At 44.9% G+C, this 17,685-nt stretch overlaps 1 annotated feature.

Moving 5' to 3' along the window:
- Positions 8,944-9,584: an enhancer, noted in NCBI's record as "OCT4-NANOG hESC enhancer chr7:73213712-73214352 (GRCh37/hg19 assembly coordinates)". NCBI's record gives its function as "activates a minimal SCP1, AML or CMV promoter by ChIP-STARR-seq in naive H9 embryonic stem cells {active_cell/tissue: H9 hESC(naive)}" and the evidence as "EXISTENCE:reporter gene assay evidence [ECO:0000049][PMID:30033119]".

Genomic DNA, 17,685 nt, shown 5'->3' with positions numbered 1-17,685 from the left:
CACGGGAAGAAAAACACAAATTGAGTTACGTAGTTTTTTGGTTTTTTTGTTTTTTTCTTTTTTGGAGACAGGGTCTCACTATGTTGGCCAGATTGGTTTGAACTCCTGACCTCAAGCAATCCTCCCACCTTGGCCTCCCAAAGTGCTAGGATTACAGGCGTGAGCCCCCACAGCTGGACTGTATTTTTCTTTTTTAAAAAACAGGCCGGGTGGCTCACGGCTGTAATTCCAGCATTTTGGGAGGCCGAGGCGGGTGGATCACAAGGTCAGGAGATCGAGACCATCCTGGCTAACACAGTGAAACCCCATCTCTACTAAAAATACAAAAACTGAGCCGGGCGTGATGGCGGGCTCCTGTAGTCCCAGCTACTCAGGAGGCTGAGGCAGGAGAATGGCGTGAACCCGGGAGGCGGAGCTTGCAGTGAGCCAAGATCGCGCCACTGCACTCCAGCCTAGGCGACAGAGCGAGACTCTGTCTCAAAAAAAAAAAAAACAAAAAAAAAAACAAACAAAAAAAAAATACAGGCCGGGTGCAGTGGCTCACATCTGTAATCCCAGCACTCTGGGAGGCTGAGGCAAGTGGATCAACTGAGGTCAGGAGTTCGAGACCAGCCTGGTCAACATGGTGAAACCCTCTCTCTACTAAAAATACAATGATTAGCTGGGTGTGGTGACGGATGCCTGTAATCCCAGCCACTTAGAAGGCTGAGAGGCAGGAGAATCGCTTGAATCCAGAAGGCAGAGATTGCAGGGACCCGAGACCACACCATTACACTCCAGCCTGGGCAACAAGACCAAAACTCCGTCTCAAAAAAAAAGAGAGACAGGGGTCTCGCTATGTTGCCCAGGCTGGTCCTGAACTCCTGGCCTCAAGCAATCCTCCTGCCTCTGCCTCCCAAAGTGCTGAAATTACAGGTGTGAGCCACCACACCCCACCTCAAATTGAGTTTTAACTCACCAGGGCCAGGCACTGTATGGTCACAGGGACCTAAGGTGTGGGTGTTTTCCCACTTGCAGGAGGCTCTAAGAGGAAATTTCCTGTCCACGAGCACCAGCTGCCCCCACCCCTCCTTCTTCTGCCTCCTGCCCCCAACACTGTCTCCCCACTTTAGGCTCTGTCTCTGAGAACACACATAAATATCGGTGTCTCAGCCTAGATGTCGGTATAACAAAAGTTAACTGGAAAATCACCCTTCCAGGAAGTCCCTGGAATCCATGGCCATAGTTGTCAGAACAGCCCAGCACCTGGATACACAGCCGGAGCACCCAAGATTCAAACCTGTTTGGAGCTTCCTATATATGCAATGACTTCTTTTCTTTGAGACAGTCTCGCTCTGTCTTACCCAGGCTGGAGTGCAGTGGCATGATCTCAGCTCCCTGCAGCCTCCGCCACCCAGATTCAAGCGATTCTCCTGCTTCAGCCTCCCGAATAGCTGGGACTACAGGCATGCACCACCACACCTGGCTAATGTTTGTATTTTCAGTAGAGACGGGGCTTCACCATGTTGGCCAGGCTGGTCTCGAACTCCTGACCTCAGGTGATCCACCCGCCTTGGCCTCCCAAAGTGCTGGGATTACAGGCATGAGCCACTGCACCCGGCAGCAATGACTTCTTATTTTTCCCCTTCTGGCTGAGGCTTCCTGGGGCAAGGCCTGCCTCCTTCAGAAGCGTCTCCCAAAGGCATGGCCACGTCTGTCCAATCAGACCAAGGCCTCCATATAGAAGATAGCAGAGGTACTAGATATGATTATTTTGATGGAAAGCAACCAAAACTGACAATGTCTAACTTAAGCCAAGGAAAAAAGTGTGGGTGTTGGACAGACTGGCTATAGGATAGATTTTATATAGTTATATATGAACACATATCTATATGAATGTATATATGTATGAAATAAACTAATGTTAAGGAAAAATATTCAATAATATTTGAGTTTTTTTGTTGTTGTGGGTTTTGTTTGTTTGTTTGTTTGACGGAGTTTTGCTCTTGTCGTCCAGGCTGAAATACAATGGCACAATCTCGACTCACTGCAACCTCCGCCTCCCAGGTTCAAGCAATTCTCCTGCCTCAGCCTCCTGAGTAGCTGGGATTACAGGCACACTCCGCCATGCCCAGGCTAATTTTTTTTGTATTTTTACAAAAACATTTTGTAAAATTTTTTTACAGAATTTTGTAGAGGCAGGATTTCACCATGTTGGTCAGGCTGGTCTCAAACTCCTGACCTCGTGGTTCACCTGCCTCTGCCTCCCAAAGTACTGGGATTATAGGCGTGAGCCACCACACCCGGCCTCAATGATACTTGTTAAAGCACAGTAAGGAAGACTTTATTTAGGACTATTGTTTTTGGTTGTGTTTTTTGGTTTGTTTTTTGTGTTTGTCTGTTTGTTTTTTGAGACAAGGTCTTGCTCTGTGGCCCAGGTTGGAGTGCAATGGCATGATCTTGGATCACTGCAACCTCCACCTCCTGGGTTCAAGCAATTCTTATGCCTCAGCCTCCCAAGTAGCTGGGATTACAGGCACGTACCACCATGCCTGGCTGATTTTTTTATTTTTAGTAGAGACAGGGTTTCACCATGTTGGCTGGGCTGGTCTCAAACTCCTAACCTCAGATGATCCACCCGCCTTGGCCTCCCAAAGTGCTGGGATTACAGGCGTGAGCCACCATGCTTGGCCTATTTAGGATTATTGCAATCACTATTAGGAACACTTAATGGGGTACTGCAATGGGGTCTTGCACCGGGGAAGAGAAATTGGGCTCAACTCTGAACACAGCATGGGCAAGTGGGAATTTATACTTAAGAAGTAGATTGGGTGGGGGTCAGCAGATGGAAAATTGCTAAGAGGAAGCATCAGGGGTTAGGAGGATTCTGGCTAAATTGACTTAACCAGGTTCTTGCTGAAGACAAGCCAGGGTGATCCAATATCACCTGGGGCATGGTGGAGGCCGAGGAACCTGATCAGATACTGACGATGATCAGATGTCAAGGATGAGGATTTTCACTAAACGGACTTAGCAGGGTTTTTGCTTAAACTAGATTTTACAGGGAAGTGTGCAGATGATTCAGAAATCTTACTAAAGTTTGGCCAAGCAAAGAATCTTTGTCAGTCCCCCTTCTTGTTCAAAGGAAAGAGACATTCTTCTTCCCTTTGAACAATATAAGTCCGGTTTTTGGTTCAGTCATCAAGTACAATAAATTATCTTGATAAAATACAAAATCTTTATTTTCTAGGCCAATTACTTAAAAGGAAAAAAAAACACTTCACATTCTCAAATAGTTCAAGAAAAATTTGTCATTTTTACAAAGAAGATCAAATTCTACTTTTGCATCAATGTACTACCAGAACTAATTTTTTTTTTTTTTTTTGGTGAGACAGAGATTTACTCTTGTTGCCCAGGCTGGAGTGCAATGGCATGATCTCAGCTCACCGCATCCTCCACATCCTCCGCCTCCCAGGTTCAAGTGATTCTCCTGCCTCAGCCTCCTGAGTATCTGGGATTACAGGCATGTGCCACCACGCCCGGCTAATTTTGTACTTTTTTAGTAGAGACGGGGTTTCATAGTGTTGCCTAGGCTGATCTCAAACTCCTGACCTCAGGTGATCTGCCCGCCTCTGCCTCCCAAAGTACTGGGATTACAGGCGTGAGCCACTGCGCCCGGCCTACCAGAACTAATTTTTAATCAAATTTCATAAATAAATCTAGCCAATCTTAGCTGGTTCATTAAGGACCAGCAAAATCATCTGTTGGGACTTGTTAGTGGAGCTCTCCTAGATAGTGTAAGTGTAAGTCAGCAGGTTTTTAATAAGGGAAGTTCAGTTTCTATGAAAATAAAAGAAAAACAAGGTTAATAGTGGGAACAAACTGTAAACTCAGTTTCTAAATCCAAAGGGCAGCCGCTCCAGAAGATTTCTAGATGCTGGGCCTGAACCATCTTCAGCAAGCAGTGGAAAATGACAGATTTCCCTGGTTTGCTGTTTGGCTATCATGAAGGCTGGCCATACATAAACTGTTGTGGCAGCTTCTCTGAAGTTTATGTCAAGTTGTCAGCTTCAGCTTGCAGGACTTCAGGAAAAGAGCAGTTTTAATTTCAGTGATTCCAAAACAGAAGGGTGGGAGAAAATTGGAAATATTAGTTTGAAGAGTTGTGGCCAGATGATGGAGAAAATAAACAGAATTCAAGAGCTAGTTCAGATTGTAGGTAGATAAGAAAAAAAAAAAACTCATGAATAGCTTCTGAATTCTGGAGGAATTAGGTAGGGAGAAAAAGTAAATGTTTCCATTTTTGTCTAATAAAGTTTGCCAAGTTGCTGTAAGCTATAGATAGTTTAAAAGGGGGGGGGAAACACATCTTTTTAATTATTTATTTATTTTTTATTTTATTTTTTTTTTGAGACACAGTTTCATTCTTGTTGCCCAGGCTGGAGTGCAATGGTGCGATCTCAGCTGACTGCAACCTCTGCCTCCCGGGTTCAAGCAATTCTCATGCCTCAGCCTCCCAAGTAGCTGGGATTACAGGTGCACACCACCACATCCAGATAATTTTGTATTTTTACTAGAGATGGGGTCTCACCATGTTGGCCAGGCTCGTTTCAAACTCCTGACTTCAGGTGATCCACCCGCCTCGGCCTCCCAAAGTGCTGGGATTACAGGCATGAGCCAATGCACCCAGGCAAAAAAAAAAAAAAACTTTTTTAAATGTGGAAAATAGGCCGGACACAGTGGCTCACGCCTGTAATCCCAGCACTTTGGGAAGCCAAGGCACGTAGATCACAAGGTCAAAAGATCAAGACCATCCTGGCCAACATGGTGAAACCTTGTCTCTACTAAAAATACAAAAATTGGCTGTGCGCAGTGGAGCTTGTCTAGTCCCAGCTACTTGAGAGGCTGAGGCAGGAGAATCGCTTGAACCCGGGACGCAGAGGTTGCAGTGAGCCGAGATTGCACCACTGCACTCCAGCCTGGCAACAGAACAAGACTGCGTCTCAACAAAAAAAGAAAATCTGGAAAATAAAACATTCAAAAAAACCAGCAATGTTTCAAATAAAAACTCATGGGTGGTGAGGGAGAAGTGTTAGAAAGAAAAATAAAGAAAATAAAAATAATTTTCTTTTTTTGAGACGGAGTCTTGCTTTTGTCGTCCAGGCTGGAGTGCAATGGGGCGATCTTGGCTCACTGCAACCTCTGCCTCCCGGGTTCAAGTGATTCTACTGCCTCAGCTTCCCAAGTAGCTGGGATTACAGGTGCCCACCACCACGCCTGGCTAATTTTTTTTTTGTATTTTTAGTAGGGACGGGGTTTCACCATGTTGGCCAGGCTGGTCTCGAACTTCTGACCTCTGGTGATCCGTCCGCCTCAGCCTCCCAAAATGCTGGGATTACAGATGTGAGCCGAGCCACTGGCACCCGGCAAAAATAACTTTTTTTAACGTGAAAATTATGTTCATCAGTTTATATTCATGTAGTTAATACATGAAGCCATATGATACTACAATCCACGTAGTTAATATTTGTTCTGCTTGATCGTGAGATCACAGTTTCATGAGCCCATCATTTTCACTAGAGTTCTGGAATGTCTAACCAAGTCCAATGGTATTATCTTAAAGTTATCAGAAACCTGTATTCCAGGGTAATTGACACAGTCTTTTTATTAATTTCCTTGACAAAGAAGCAACTTTGAACTGGAGCTAAGTCTTGCAAATGCTTTTACAGAATAATTTAAGTAAAATAACTGTCTATGGATGATAAAGATGTAAAATGGCATGGTTAAAGATCTGATGAGAGTTCATTATAATAGTGATACAATTAAGAAAATTTGATTTCTGTGGCATACAACCTTTTAACATAATAATCAAAATTATGACTGATAACATACTACATTTCTAGGAATTTCCTATAGTTTCTGGAGCATATATTAATAACATGTCCATACAAATTTAACTCAAACAAGGTTAAACATTATTTCTCATTTCACAATGCTTCCTATATAATTTAACATATGAAATAAGTGTAATTATTTTAATATCTTTCTTTTACTAGGTGAGAGACATACCTTTTGAGATATCCTGGGGCTCAACTGGAAAATACCAAAATTAACTTGAAGTTAAAAAGACTTAATTTAGAATATGATTTTGGGAAGTTTATAAAAAATGTCAAAAGGGTTAAAGCACTTAATTAAACATAATCTCGGTTATCTAATCAAAGTGTTGATAACTTTTTTTTTTTGAGACAGAGTTTCATTCTTGTTGCCCAGGCTAGAGTACAGTGGTGCAATCTCAGCTCACTGTAACCTCCGCCTCCTGGGTTCAATTCTGCTGCCTCAGCCTCCCAAGTAGCTGGGATTGCAGGCACGCACCATCACGCCAGACTAATTTTTGTATTTTTAGTAGAAACAGGGTTTCACCATGTTGGTGACAATAAAATATTTTAAAGGCAAATATAGCAGATTACATAGTTGTGAAGAAAAACTTAGGTTTTTTGATATTGAGAAGATTTAGTTTTCTTAAGTAACCAAAGACGTGATAAAAGACAACATCAAGAACAAGAAATTCCCTTGATAAGACATAAAATTTTTATTTTCTAGGCCAATTACTTAAAGGAAAAAAAAAACCCTTCACATTCTCAGACCAATAGTTCAAGGAAACTTCATAATTTTTAGAAAGACGACCAAATTCTACTTTTGCATCAATGTACTAGTAGAACTAATTTTTAATAAAACTTCACAAATAAATCTAGCCAATCTTAGCCAGCTTTGACCACACATGACAAGATTTCTTTTCCACAGTTGAGTCTAAATTTTTAATGAATATCAATTACTCAATTTTACTTAACACAACTTTAAGGTTGCAAGTTGTCACAAAAAGATTTTTGAAACTATTTTCAAGTAGACATCTTTTAAAGCATAATTATTTTTTAAAAGTTCATTTACAAATTTTTATTCTACTACATTCTCCTAATTTATTTATTCGCAGCAATTACGGTTTAATTGCTCATGAAAAATGTCATGAAACATTAAACAAAGGTAGGCACTATTTTAAAGTATTTTTCCTATTAATAAATCAGGTAAGTATCAAAAACATCACAAAAGCAATGAAACTAAAAAGTTAAACAAGGTTCTTTTTTTTTTTTAACTTTTATGTCCTGACATGCACAAAGCAATTAAGCAATTCATTTTTCTTGTACATTCTGTTCTTAGGTTAGATTTATAGCTTTATGACCTTAAACATCTAGCAAATACAACACAAACGTATCTTACCAGCATACTCAGGAAAAACTGTATGTCTGTATTTAATGATAACAGTTCTGAAGACAGTCCTATTTTCATTTTACCAACAATTTTAAAACTAACTTTTATTTACTAAAGACTATCCTGGATCATGTGAACTTGAAAAAAATTGTTCAGTTTTTTATTTTTCTGATAATTTTATGAATACTTAATTTGTTTGAGTGCGCATTTATCCCTAAGACAATTTGCTATTTTCGTTTTGTATTAGCATTGAAGTTAGAAAAATATCATGTATACATAACAAACAAACATGCATACATACATACATATACACATACATAAACATACAGACAGATGTAAACAGATCTTATAGCTTTTCATCTTAAAAATTTGAATCATGAGGCAGTAAACCAGGATAATATAAATTCACTGGTTTATCTTCACATCCAATTATGTTTCTGATACAAATGGGACAAATTAAGGTTACCAACCCAGTAAGGACTAAAAATTTTTACCAATATCTGTGAAGGCAACTTTTAAGATTTTTTCATTTGTCCAGTTTTCTTTTTCTTTGTTTTGCTTTTTTTATTTTTTATTTTTGAGACAAGGTCTCAGTCTGTTACTGAGGCCGGCCGGAGTGCAGTGGTGCAGTCACAGCTCACTGCAGCCTCGACCTCCCAGACTCAAGTAATCTTCCAACCTCAGCCTCCCAAGTAGCTGGAACCACAGGTGTGTGCCTTCAAACCTGGCTATATTTTAAGTTTGTTATAGACATGGGGTCTTGCTATGTTGCCCAGACTCATCTAAAACTCCTCAGCTCAAAGAAGTCTCCTGCCTCAGCCTCCCAAAGTGCTGGGATTACAGGCATGAGCCACCACACCCAGTCTCAGTTTTCAAACAGTTCTATTTTTGTTGTTGTTATTTTATTTTCAGCTTCAGGTGCTTGCTTGCGGAATGAGGTGCTGAGTTCCTTAAGAGCCCCCAGTGAAGGGTAGGGGGTCTAAGGTACAAGAGACTGAGGGGCTGGAGTGGAGAGGAAAAGGGCCTGGCAGTGGGGTACACAGTTGGCAGAGGATAGAGTCAGCAGGAGTTCGAGAAGAGAGCTTTCAGGTGACAGAAAAGTTTCCCGTGGGAGAAGCAGGATCCAATAGAGAGAACAGAGAGAATAGGGAGGCCTCACAGAGGGCCAGGAAGAAGGACTTCCAGCCCAGAAAGTACCTTTCAAAAGAAACCTGGGACTCTAACCCAGCTTCAGCAAATATACCCATACTTTAAGAATCAAAGTCTGTGCCAGCGGTGGCTCATGCCTGTAATTCCAGCACTTTGGGAGGCCGAGGCGGGTGGATCACAAGGTCAGGAGTTCGAGACCAGCCTGGCCAACATGGTGAAACCCCGTCTCTACTTAAAATACAAAAATTAGCCGGGCGGGGCGGTGCATGCCTGCAGTCCCAGCTACTCGGGAGGCTGAGGCAGGAGAATCACTTGAACCTGGGAGGCAGAGGTTGCAGTGAGCCGAGATCACACCACCGCACTCCAGCCTGGGTGACAGAGCAAGACTCCATCTCAAAAAAAAAAAGTCTGTGCCAGGCATAGCGGCTCATGCCTATAATCCCAGCACTTTGGGAGGTCAAGGTGGGAGGATCACGTGAGCCAAAGAGTTCAAGATCAGCCTGGATAACATAGTGAGACCCCATCTCTACAAAAAACAAAAAATAAAAAATTAGCCAGGCACGGTGGTGTGCCTGTAGTCCCAGCTACTCAGGAGGCTGAGGTGGGAGGATTGCTTGAGCCCTGGAGTTTGAGGCTGCAGTGAGCTATGATTGCACCACCGCACTCCAGCCTGGGTGATAGAGTGAGACCCTGTCTCAAACCAAGAAAAAACAACAACAACAAAGGAATCAAAGTCTGTCCTTACCTGCTTCAACGGATATTTGGAGCAATGGTTCGGGAGTCTGACTTCCTGATGAGTCAGTCAGGAAGGAAGACAAAGACTTCAAAGGCACTCACTTAATGTCCTAGGGAGAAGCTACGTCCAGGGATGAATCTGGTCCTATCTGAGTTGCAGCACCATAACTGTTAAAATGTTATTCAATAACACATGTTAAAGCATGTCAAGGAAGACTTTCTTCAGGACCATCGCAATAGGTATAGGAACCACTGCACCAGGGTCTTGCAGTGGGGAAGAGAGATTGGGCTCAACTCCGAATACAGCATGGGCAAGTGGGAATTTATAGCCCAGGAGCAGAGTGGGAGTAGGTGGATGGAAAATTACTAAGAGAAAACATCAGGCATGAAGGGAATTCTAGCTAAACCAACCTAGCAGGATTGCTGCTGAAGACAGGCCAGGGTAATCAGACATCACGTGAGGTATCATGGAGGGTGAGGAATTGATCAGATACTAAGGATGATCAGATATTGAGGATGGAGCGTTCTTGCTGAACTGACCCAGCAGGGCTCTTGCCAAAACTGAGTTTTACAAGAAAGTACGTGGATGGGCTTAGGAGAAGACTCAGAAACCTGACTGAAGTTTGGACAAGCAAAGAATCTTTTGTCGTTAAACATCTAAATGTGAAGAAAATAACTGTAAAACACTTAGAAGAAACTATAGGAGAATACCTCCATTTCTTGGATTTAGAGAAATATTTCTTAAGTAAGACACAAAAGATACATGAAAAAGAAAAAATTGATGGAGATAGACATATTAAAAACTTGCATGACGCTGGGCGCGGTGGCTCACTCCTGTAATCCCAGCATTTTGGGAGGCCGAGGTGGGCAGATCACGGGGTCAGGAGTTTGAGACCAGCCTGGCCAACACGGTGAAACCCCGTCTCTACTAAAAATACAAAAAATTAGCTGGGTGTGGTGGTGCGCGCCTATAGTCCCAGCTACTCGGGAGGCTGAGGCAGGAGAGTTGCTTGAACCTGGCAGGTGGAGGTTGCAGTGAGCCAAGATCGTGCCACTGCACTCCAGCCTGGGTGACCGAGTGAGACTCCATTAAAAAAAAAAAAAAACTTGCATGACAATACATATAATTTTTAAAGTTTTAAAATAAGCTAAATGCAACCCATATAGCCAACAAATGTCTAGTAATCAGAGTATATAAAGAACTCAGCTGGGCATGGTGGCTCACACCTGTAATCCTAGCGCTTTGGGAGGCCAAGGAAGGTGGATCACCTGAGTTCGGGAGTTCGAGACCAGCCTGGTCAACATGGTGAACCCCATCTCTATTTAAAAAATACAGAAATTAGCTGGGCATGGTCGTGGATGCCTGTGAGGCTGAGGCAGGAGAATCACTTGAACCCGGGAGGTGGAGGTTGCAGTAAGCCTGGATAGTGCCATTGCACTCCAGCCTAGCAACAAGAGCAAAACTCCATCTCAAAAAAAAAAAAAAAAATTGCAAGACCATACATATAATTTTTAAAGTTTTCAAATAAGCTAAAATGCCAACAAATGTATAGTAATCAGAATATATAAAAAACTCAGCCAGGCACGGTGGCTCACACCTGTAATCCCAGCACTTTGGGTTTTGGGATTTTTTTTTGGTTATAGAAATGTTCTAGGTCTTGATTTGAGTGCTGGTTACATGCGTATTCACAAATGTAAAAATTTTATCAAGCTGCTCCCTCTCCCTCTCCCTCTCCCTCTCCCCACGGTCTCCCTCTCCCTCTCTTTCCACGGTCTCCCTCTGATGCCGAGCCGAAGCTGGACGGTACTGCTGCCATCTCGGCTCACTGCAACCTCCCTGCCTGATTCTCCTGCCTCAGCTTGCCGAGTGCCTGCGATTGCAGGCGCGCGCCGCCACGCCTGACTGGTTTTCGTATTTTTTTGGTGGAGACGGGGATTCGCTGTGTTGGCCGGGCTGGTCTCCAGCTCCTAACCGCGAGTGATCCGCCAGCCTCGGCCTCCCGAGGTGCCGGGATTGCAGACGGAGTCTCGTTCACTCAGTGCTCAATGGTGCCCAGGCTGGAGTGCAGTGGCGTGATCTCGGCTCGCTACAACCTCCACCTCCCAGCAGCCTGCCTTGGCCTCCCAAAGTGCCGAGATTGCAGCCTCTGCCCGGCCGCCACCCCGTCTGGGAAGTGAGGAGCATCTCCGCCTGGCCGCCCATCGTCTGGGATGTGAGGAGCCCCTCTGCCTGGCTGCCCAGTCTGGAAAGTGAGGAGCGTCTCTGCCCGGCCGCCATCCCATCTAGGAAGTGAGGAGCGCCTCTTCCCGGCCGCCATCACATCTGGGAAGTGAGGAGCGTCTCTGCCCGGCCGCCTATCGTCTGAGATGTGGGGAGCACCTCTGCCCCGCCGCCCCGTCCGGGATGTGAGGAGCGTCTCTGCCCGGACGCCCCGTCTGAAAAGTGAGGAGACCCTCTGCCTGGCAACCGCCCCGTCTGAGAAGTGAGGAGCCCCTCCGCCCGGCAGCCGCCCCGTCTGAGAAGTGAGGAGCCCCTCCGCCCAGCAGCCACCCCATCTGGGAAGTGAGGAGCGTCTCTGCCCGGCAGCCACCTCGTCCGGGAGGGAGGTGGGGGGGGTCAGCCCCCCGCCCGGCCAGCCGCCCCGTCCGGCAGGTGAGGGGCGCCTCTGCCCGGCCGCGCCTACTGGGAAGTGAGGAGCCCCTCTGCCCGGCCACCACCCCGTCTGGGAGGTGTACCCAACAGCTCATTGAGAACGGGCCATGATGACAATGGCGGTTTTGTAGAATAGAAAGGGGGGAAAGGTGGGGAAAAGATTGAGAAATCGGATGGTTGCTGTGTCCGTGTAGAAAGAGGTAGACATGGGAGACTTTTCATTTTGTTATGTACTAAGAAAAATTCTTCTGCCTTGGGATCTTGTTGATCTGTGACCTTACCCCCAACCCTGTGCTCTCTGAAACATGTGCTGTATCCACTCAGAGTTGAATGGATTAAGGGCGGTGCAAGATGTGCTTTGTTAAACAGATGCTTGAAGGCAGCATGCTCGTTAAGAGTCATCACCACTCCCTAATCTCAAGTACCCAGGGACACAAACACTGCGGAAGGCCGCAGGGTCCTCTGCCTAGGAAAACCAGAGACCTTTGTTCACTTGTTTATCTGCTGACCTTCCCTCCACTATTGTCCTGTGACCCTGCCAAATCCCCCTCTGCGAGAAACACCCAAGAATAATCAATAAAAATAATAATAATAATAATAATAAAATTAAATTAAATAAAAAAAAATTTTATCAAGCTGTACCTTTAAGATTTGTGTATTTTACGGGCATGGTGGCGCATGCCTGTAGTCCCAGCTACCTGGGAGGCTGAGGCAGGAGAATCATTTGAACCTGGGAGGTGAAGGTTGCAGTGAGCTGTGATTGCACCACTGCAGTCCAGCCTAGGTGACAGAATGAGACTCCGTCTCGGAAAAAATAAAATAAAATAAAATAAAATAAAATAAAATAAAATAAAATAAAATTGTACATTTTAAGGACTTTATCAAATATATTTTATGTCTCAAAAAGGAAACTTCATGGCAAAAAAAAAAAAATCATAGAACTAAATGGCCAAAGATAAGCTATCATCTGGGAGAAAATATGTGTAACCGTTATAATCAACAAATGATTAGTACTCAGAATATACAAAGAAATTCTACAAATTGCTCAACATCACTCATCATCAGAGAAATGCAAATCAAAACCAAAGTAAGATACTGTCTCAAACCAGTCAGGGAGCTATTACTAAAAAGTCAAAAAATAACAGATTTTGGCAAGGTTGGGGAGAAAAGGGAACACTCATACAGTGTTGGTGGGAGTGTAAATTAGTCCAGCTACTGTGAAAAGCAATGTGGACATTTCTCAAAGAACTGAAAATACAGCTACCATTCTACCCAGCAAGCCCATTACTGGGTATATACCCAAAGGTATATAAATTGTTTTACCAAAGAGACACATGTGGCCGGGCACTGTGGCTCACACCTGTAATCCCAACAGTTTGGGAGGCCGAGGTGGGCAGATCACTTGAGGTCAGGAGTTCGAGACCAGCCTGGCCAACACGGTGAAACCCCATCTCTACTAAAAATACAAAAAATCAGCTGGGCATGGTAACATGCGCCTGTAATCCCAGCTACTTGGGAAGCTGAGGCAGGAGAATCACTTGAACCTGAAAGGCAGAGGCTGCAGTGAGCCGAGATCTCGCCATTATACTCCAGCCTGGGCAACAGAGCAAGAACACATCTCAAAAAAGCAAAAGAAGACACATGCATTTGCATGTTTATTACAGCACTAGTCACAGTAGCAAAGACATGGAATCAATCTAGGTGCCCATCAATGGTGGACTGGATAAAGAAAATGTGGTTCATATACACCAAGGAATACTACACAGCCATGAAAAAGAATGAAACCATGTCCTTTGCAGCAACATGGATGCAGCTGGAGGCCATTATCCTAAGTGAATTAACACAGAAACAGAAAAACAAATATTAGGTAAGGGGTACAACAGGCACTTCAGCAGAAAGTTAAGACTGTTAATCTGAGAATACCAGATTCTCAGAATACCACATGTTCTCACTTACAAGAGGGAGTTAAACATTGGGTACATGTGGACATAAACACAAGGATGACAGACAGTAGGGACTACTGGGGTTGGGGTTGGAGAGACAGAGCAAGGGTTGAAAAATCACTACTTTCACTGTTTGAATTGTGGGTTCAAAGCCCAAACCTCAGCATCACACAATATATCCATGTAACAAACCTGCATATGTACTCCCTGAATCTAAAATAAAAAAAAAAAAAAGAAATTATGCAAATCAATGAGAAAAGGACAAACAACTCAATAGGAAACCACCCGGGAGCAGTGGCTCATGCCTGTAATCTCAGCACTTTGGGAAGGGTGGGAAGATCCCCTGAGGCCAGGAGTTCAAGACCAGCCTGGCCAACATGGCAAAACCCCATCTCTACTAAAAATACAAAAAATTAGCTGGACATGGTGACATGCGCCTGTAATCCCAGCTACTTGGGAGGCTGAGGCAAGAGAATCGCTTGAACCCAGGAGGTGGAGGTTGCAGTGAGCCAAGATCCTGCCATTGCACTCCAGCCTGGGTGACAGGGTGAGATTCCATCTCATAAACAAATAAATAGCCCACAGAAGAAAACATTGAAATGAATAAACATAGAAACAATACTCAATAACACTAGTAATCAGAGAAATGTAAGTTAAAATGAGATGCCACTGGACACCCACAGAATGATACGCAAAAAAACAACCTCTCTGACACGCCGAGGGAGTGTCAATGGATACAGCCATTTTAGAGAATCATTTGGCAATATTGGGAAGGTGGGAGGTGTGTTTACCTGATGACCCAGCAATTTTACTTCTAGGAGAACACATGTGCACCTGGAGGTATTTGCAAGGACGTGCATCACACCTTATTTGTCACAGCAAAACCACTGGAAACTATCTAGATGCTTATCAAGAGGCGAATCAGCCGGGCACGATGGCTCATGCCTATAATCCCAGCACTTTGGGAAACCGAAGTGGGTGGATCACTTGAGGTCAGGAATTCAAGACCAGCCTGGCCAACATGGTGAAACCCTGTCTCTATTAAAAAAAAAAAAAAGATAACACAAAAATTAGCCTGGCAAGGTGGTGCATGCCTGTAGACCCAGGTATTCAGAAGGCTGAGGCAGGAGAATCGCTTGAACTCGGGAAGCAGAGGTTGCAATGAGCCGAGATCACATCACTGCACTCCAGCCTGGGCGACAGAGCAAGACTCCATCTCACAACAACAAAAAAAAGAACTGACACTGTTTTGCTGCCAGTGGGCTCTGGCATCAGCCACAGTGAGAGGAAGCCCTGCGTGGCCTCCCCCGCTGCTACCATGGCCACTGTGGTCACAGCCCATAGAGCAGGCACTGGGCTGGCTGGGGAAGAAGGCAGCTGCTTGACACCCACAGGTCTGTTCAAGGAGTTTCTCTTTTCCATTGGAGCTCAGGGCGCACCCAGGCAAGGGAGCGTGGCCTTTGTCAGTGATAAGGCCGGAGCCAGAAACAGTTGAGTAACCTCTGATAGGGCCCTATCTTAAATCAACTTCTCTCTCCTTGGGCCTTGAAAGCTGCTTTGTTTAACTTTGTGCTGTTAGGATGAAGCATATGATAAGGCCTACACGTTTAAATAAACTTATAAGTCAACAGTGTCTATTACCCTGGGAAGGAGACTTAAGAGATTGATGAGAACATATGACCCCACAGAGCCTGGGGATGGAGGTCTTTTAGCCCCCTCTCACCTGCAGTACCCCTGTCCCTACCCCCACTCCAATCCAAACTGAGGTTCCCTTGGATTTCTTTCTTTTTTTGAAAAAAAAAAATGTTTTTGTAGAGTTGGGGTCTTGCTATGTTGCCCATGCTGGTCTCAAATTCCTGGTCTCAAACGATCCTCCTGCCTTGGCCTCCCAAAGTGCTGGGATTACAGGTGTGAGCCACCGTACCCAGCCAGGATTCCTTTCTTTTCCTTTTCTCATCTTCTTTTCTAGTAAGGGACCCAGAGCCAAAACACCAAACTGCAAAGGCCCAGCAAATGATCTCAAACCCAGATGGTTACAGGAACTGAACGGGTAACTGAAATGTGTACAATAAGCCAGGTAAAAGGCAATGGGTGTGACACTGTGACATGGTAAACAACATAGATTTGGTCTCTGCCCCCAGTTCTTGAGCCAGAGCTCCTAATACCCTCATTGATAGGGGTGCTGGGAGAATCTTTAGTTCTAATATTTGGTCTCTGCCCCCGCGGTTCCTGACACAGAAGTTCCTAAATCCCTGGGAATTTTCTGGGTGGTAGGATCATCTTTTGTTCTGATGAGGTGACTCTTGGTGGATTCCTGGATAGCCTCGGGATGGGGGCTGGTTGCCAAGGGAACCAACGCTGTGATTGGAGAGTTGGACCACTCAGCCCCACCCCTCAGCCTCTGGGGAGAGGAGAGGCTGAAGGCTGAGCTGATTGCCATTGGCCAGTGATGCAATCAATCATGCCTATGTAATGAAGCCTCCTAGCCCCCACCCCATTCCCACAAAGGACAGGGTTCTGGGAGTTTCTCGGTTGCAAAACCTGTGGAACTGCTTGGAGGATGGCATACCAGAAAGAGCAGGGAACCTCCTCACCCTGCCCACACTTCGCCATATGCACCTCTTCCATCTGGCTGTTCATCTTTCATCTCTATCCTTTGTAATACTCTTTTTTTTTTTGAAATGGAGTCTCACTCTGTTGCTCTGGCTGGAAAGCAGTGGGAGTGGCACGATCGTGGCTCACTGCAGCCTAAATCGCCTGGGCTCAAGCAATCCTCTTACCTCAGCCTCTCTGGTAGCTGAGACTACAGGTGTGTGCCACCATGCACTGGAATGGTGTGTTTTCTATTTGTAGAAAACAAATATTTTTTAATTTGTAGAGAGGAGGTCTGGCTATGTTGTCCAGGCTGGTCTCAAACTCCTTGGCTCAAGCGATCTTCCCAACTCAGCCTTCCAAAGTGCTGGGATTACAGGCACGAGCCACTGTGCCCGGTCTGTAATATCTCTTTTATAATAAATGGGTAAATGTAAGTAAAGTGTTTCCTTGAGTTCTGTGAGTCACTCTAACAAATTACTTGAAACCAAGGAGGGGGTCATGGGAACCCCAGATTTATGGGGGTCAGAAATACAGGTCACAACCTGGGATGTGCAAGTGTCACAGAAGTGGGCGTGGTCTTGTTACAGGAAAGGGGCCCCAGTCCAGAACCCAAGAGAGGGTTCTCGGATCTCACACAAGAAAGAATTCAGGGCAAGTCCGCAATGCAAAGTGAAAGCAAGTTGATTAAGAAAGTAAAGGAATAGGCCGGGCGCGGTGGCTCACGCGTGGAATCCCAGCACTTTGGGAGGCCGAGGCGGGCGAATCAGGAGGTCAGGGAATCCAGACCATCCTGGCTAACACAGTGAAACCCCCTCTCTACTAAAAATGCAAAAAATTAGCTGGGTGTGATGGCGGCCGCCTGTGGTCCCAGCTACTCGGGAGGCTGAGGCAGGAGAATGGCGTGAACCCTGGAGGAGGAGCTTGCAGTGAGCCGAGATTGCGCCACTGCACTCTAGCCTGGGCGACTGAGCAAGACTCTGCCTCAAAAAAAAAAAAAAAAGGAAAAAGAAAGTAAAGGAATAAAAGAATGGCTACTCCATAGACAGAGCAGCCCCAAGGGCTGCTGGTTGCCCATTTTTGTGGTTATTTTTTGATGATATGCTAAACAAGGGGTGGAATATTCATGCCTACCCCTTTTAGACCATATAGGGTAACTTCCTGACATTGCCATGGCATTTGTAAACTGTCATGGCGCTGATGGGAGCGTAGCAGTAAAGACGACCAGAGGTCACTCTCGTCACCATCTTGGTTTTGGCGAGTTTTAGCCAGCTCCTTCACTGCAACCTGTTTTATCAGCAAGATCTTTATGACCTGTATCTTGTGCTAACCTCCCATCTCATCTTGTGACATAGAATTCCTCTCTGGGAA

This window comes from Homo sapiens, chromosome 7 (genome assembly GCF_000001405.40).
Source record: "Homo sapiens chromosome 7, GRCh38.p14 Primary Assembly".
Classification (NCBI taxonomy): domain Eukaryota; kingdom Metazoa; phylum Chordata; class Mammalia; order Primates; family Hominidae; genus Homo; species Homo sapiens.
This window is presented reverse-complemented; position numbering and strand designations above follow the sequence as displayed.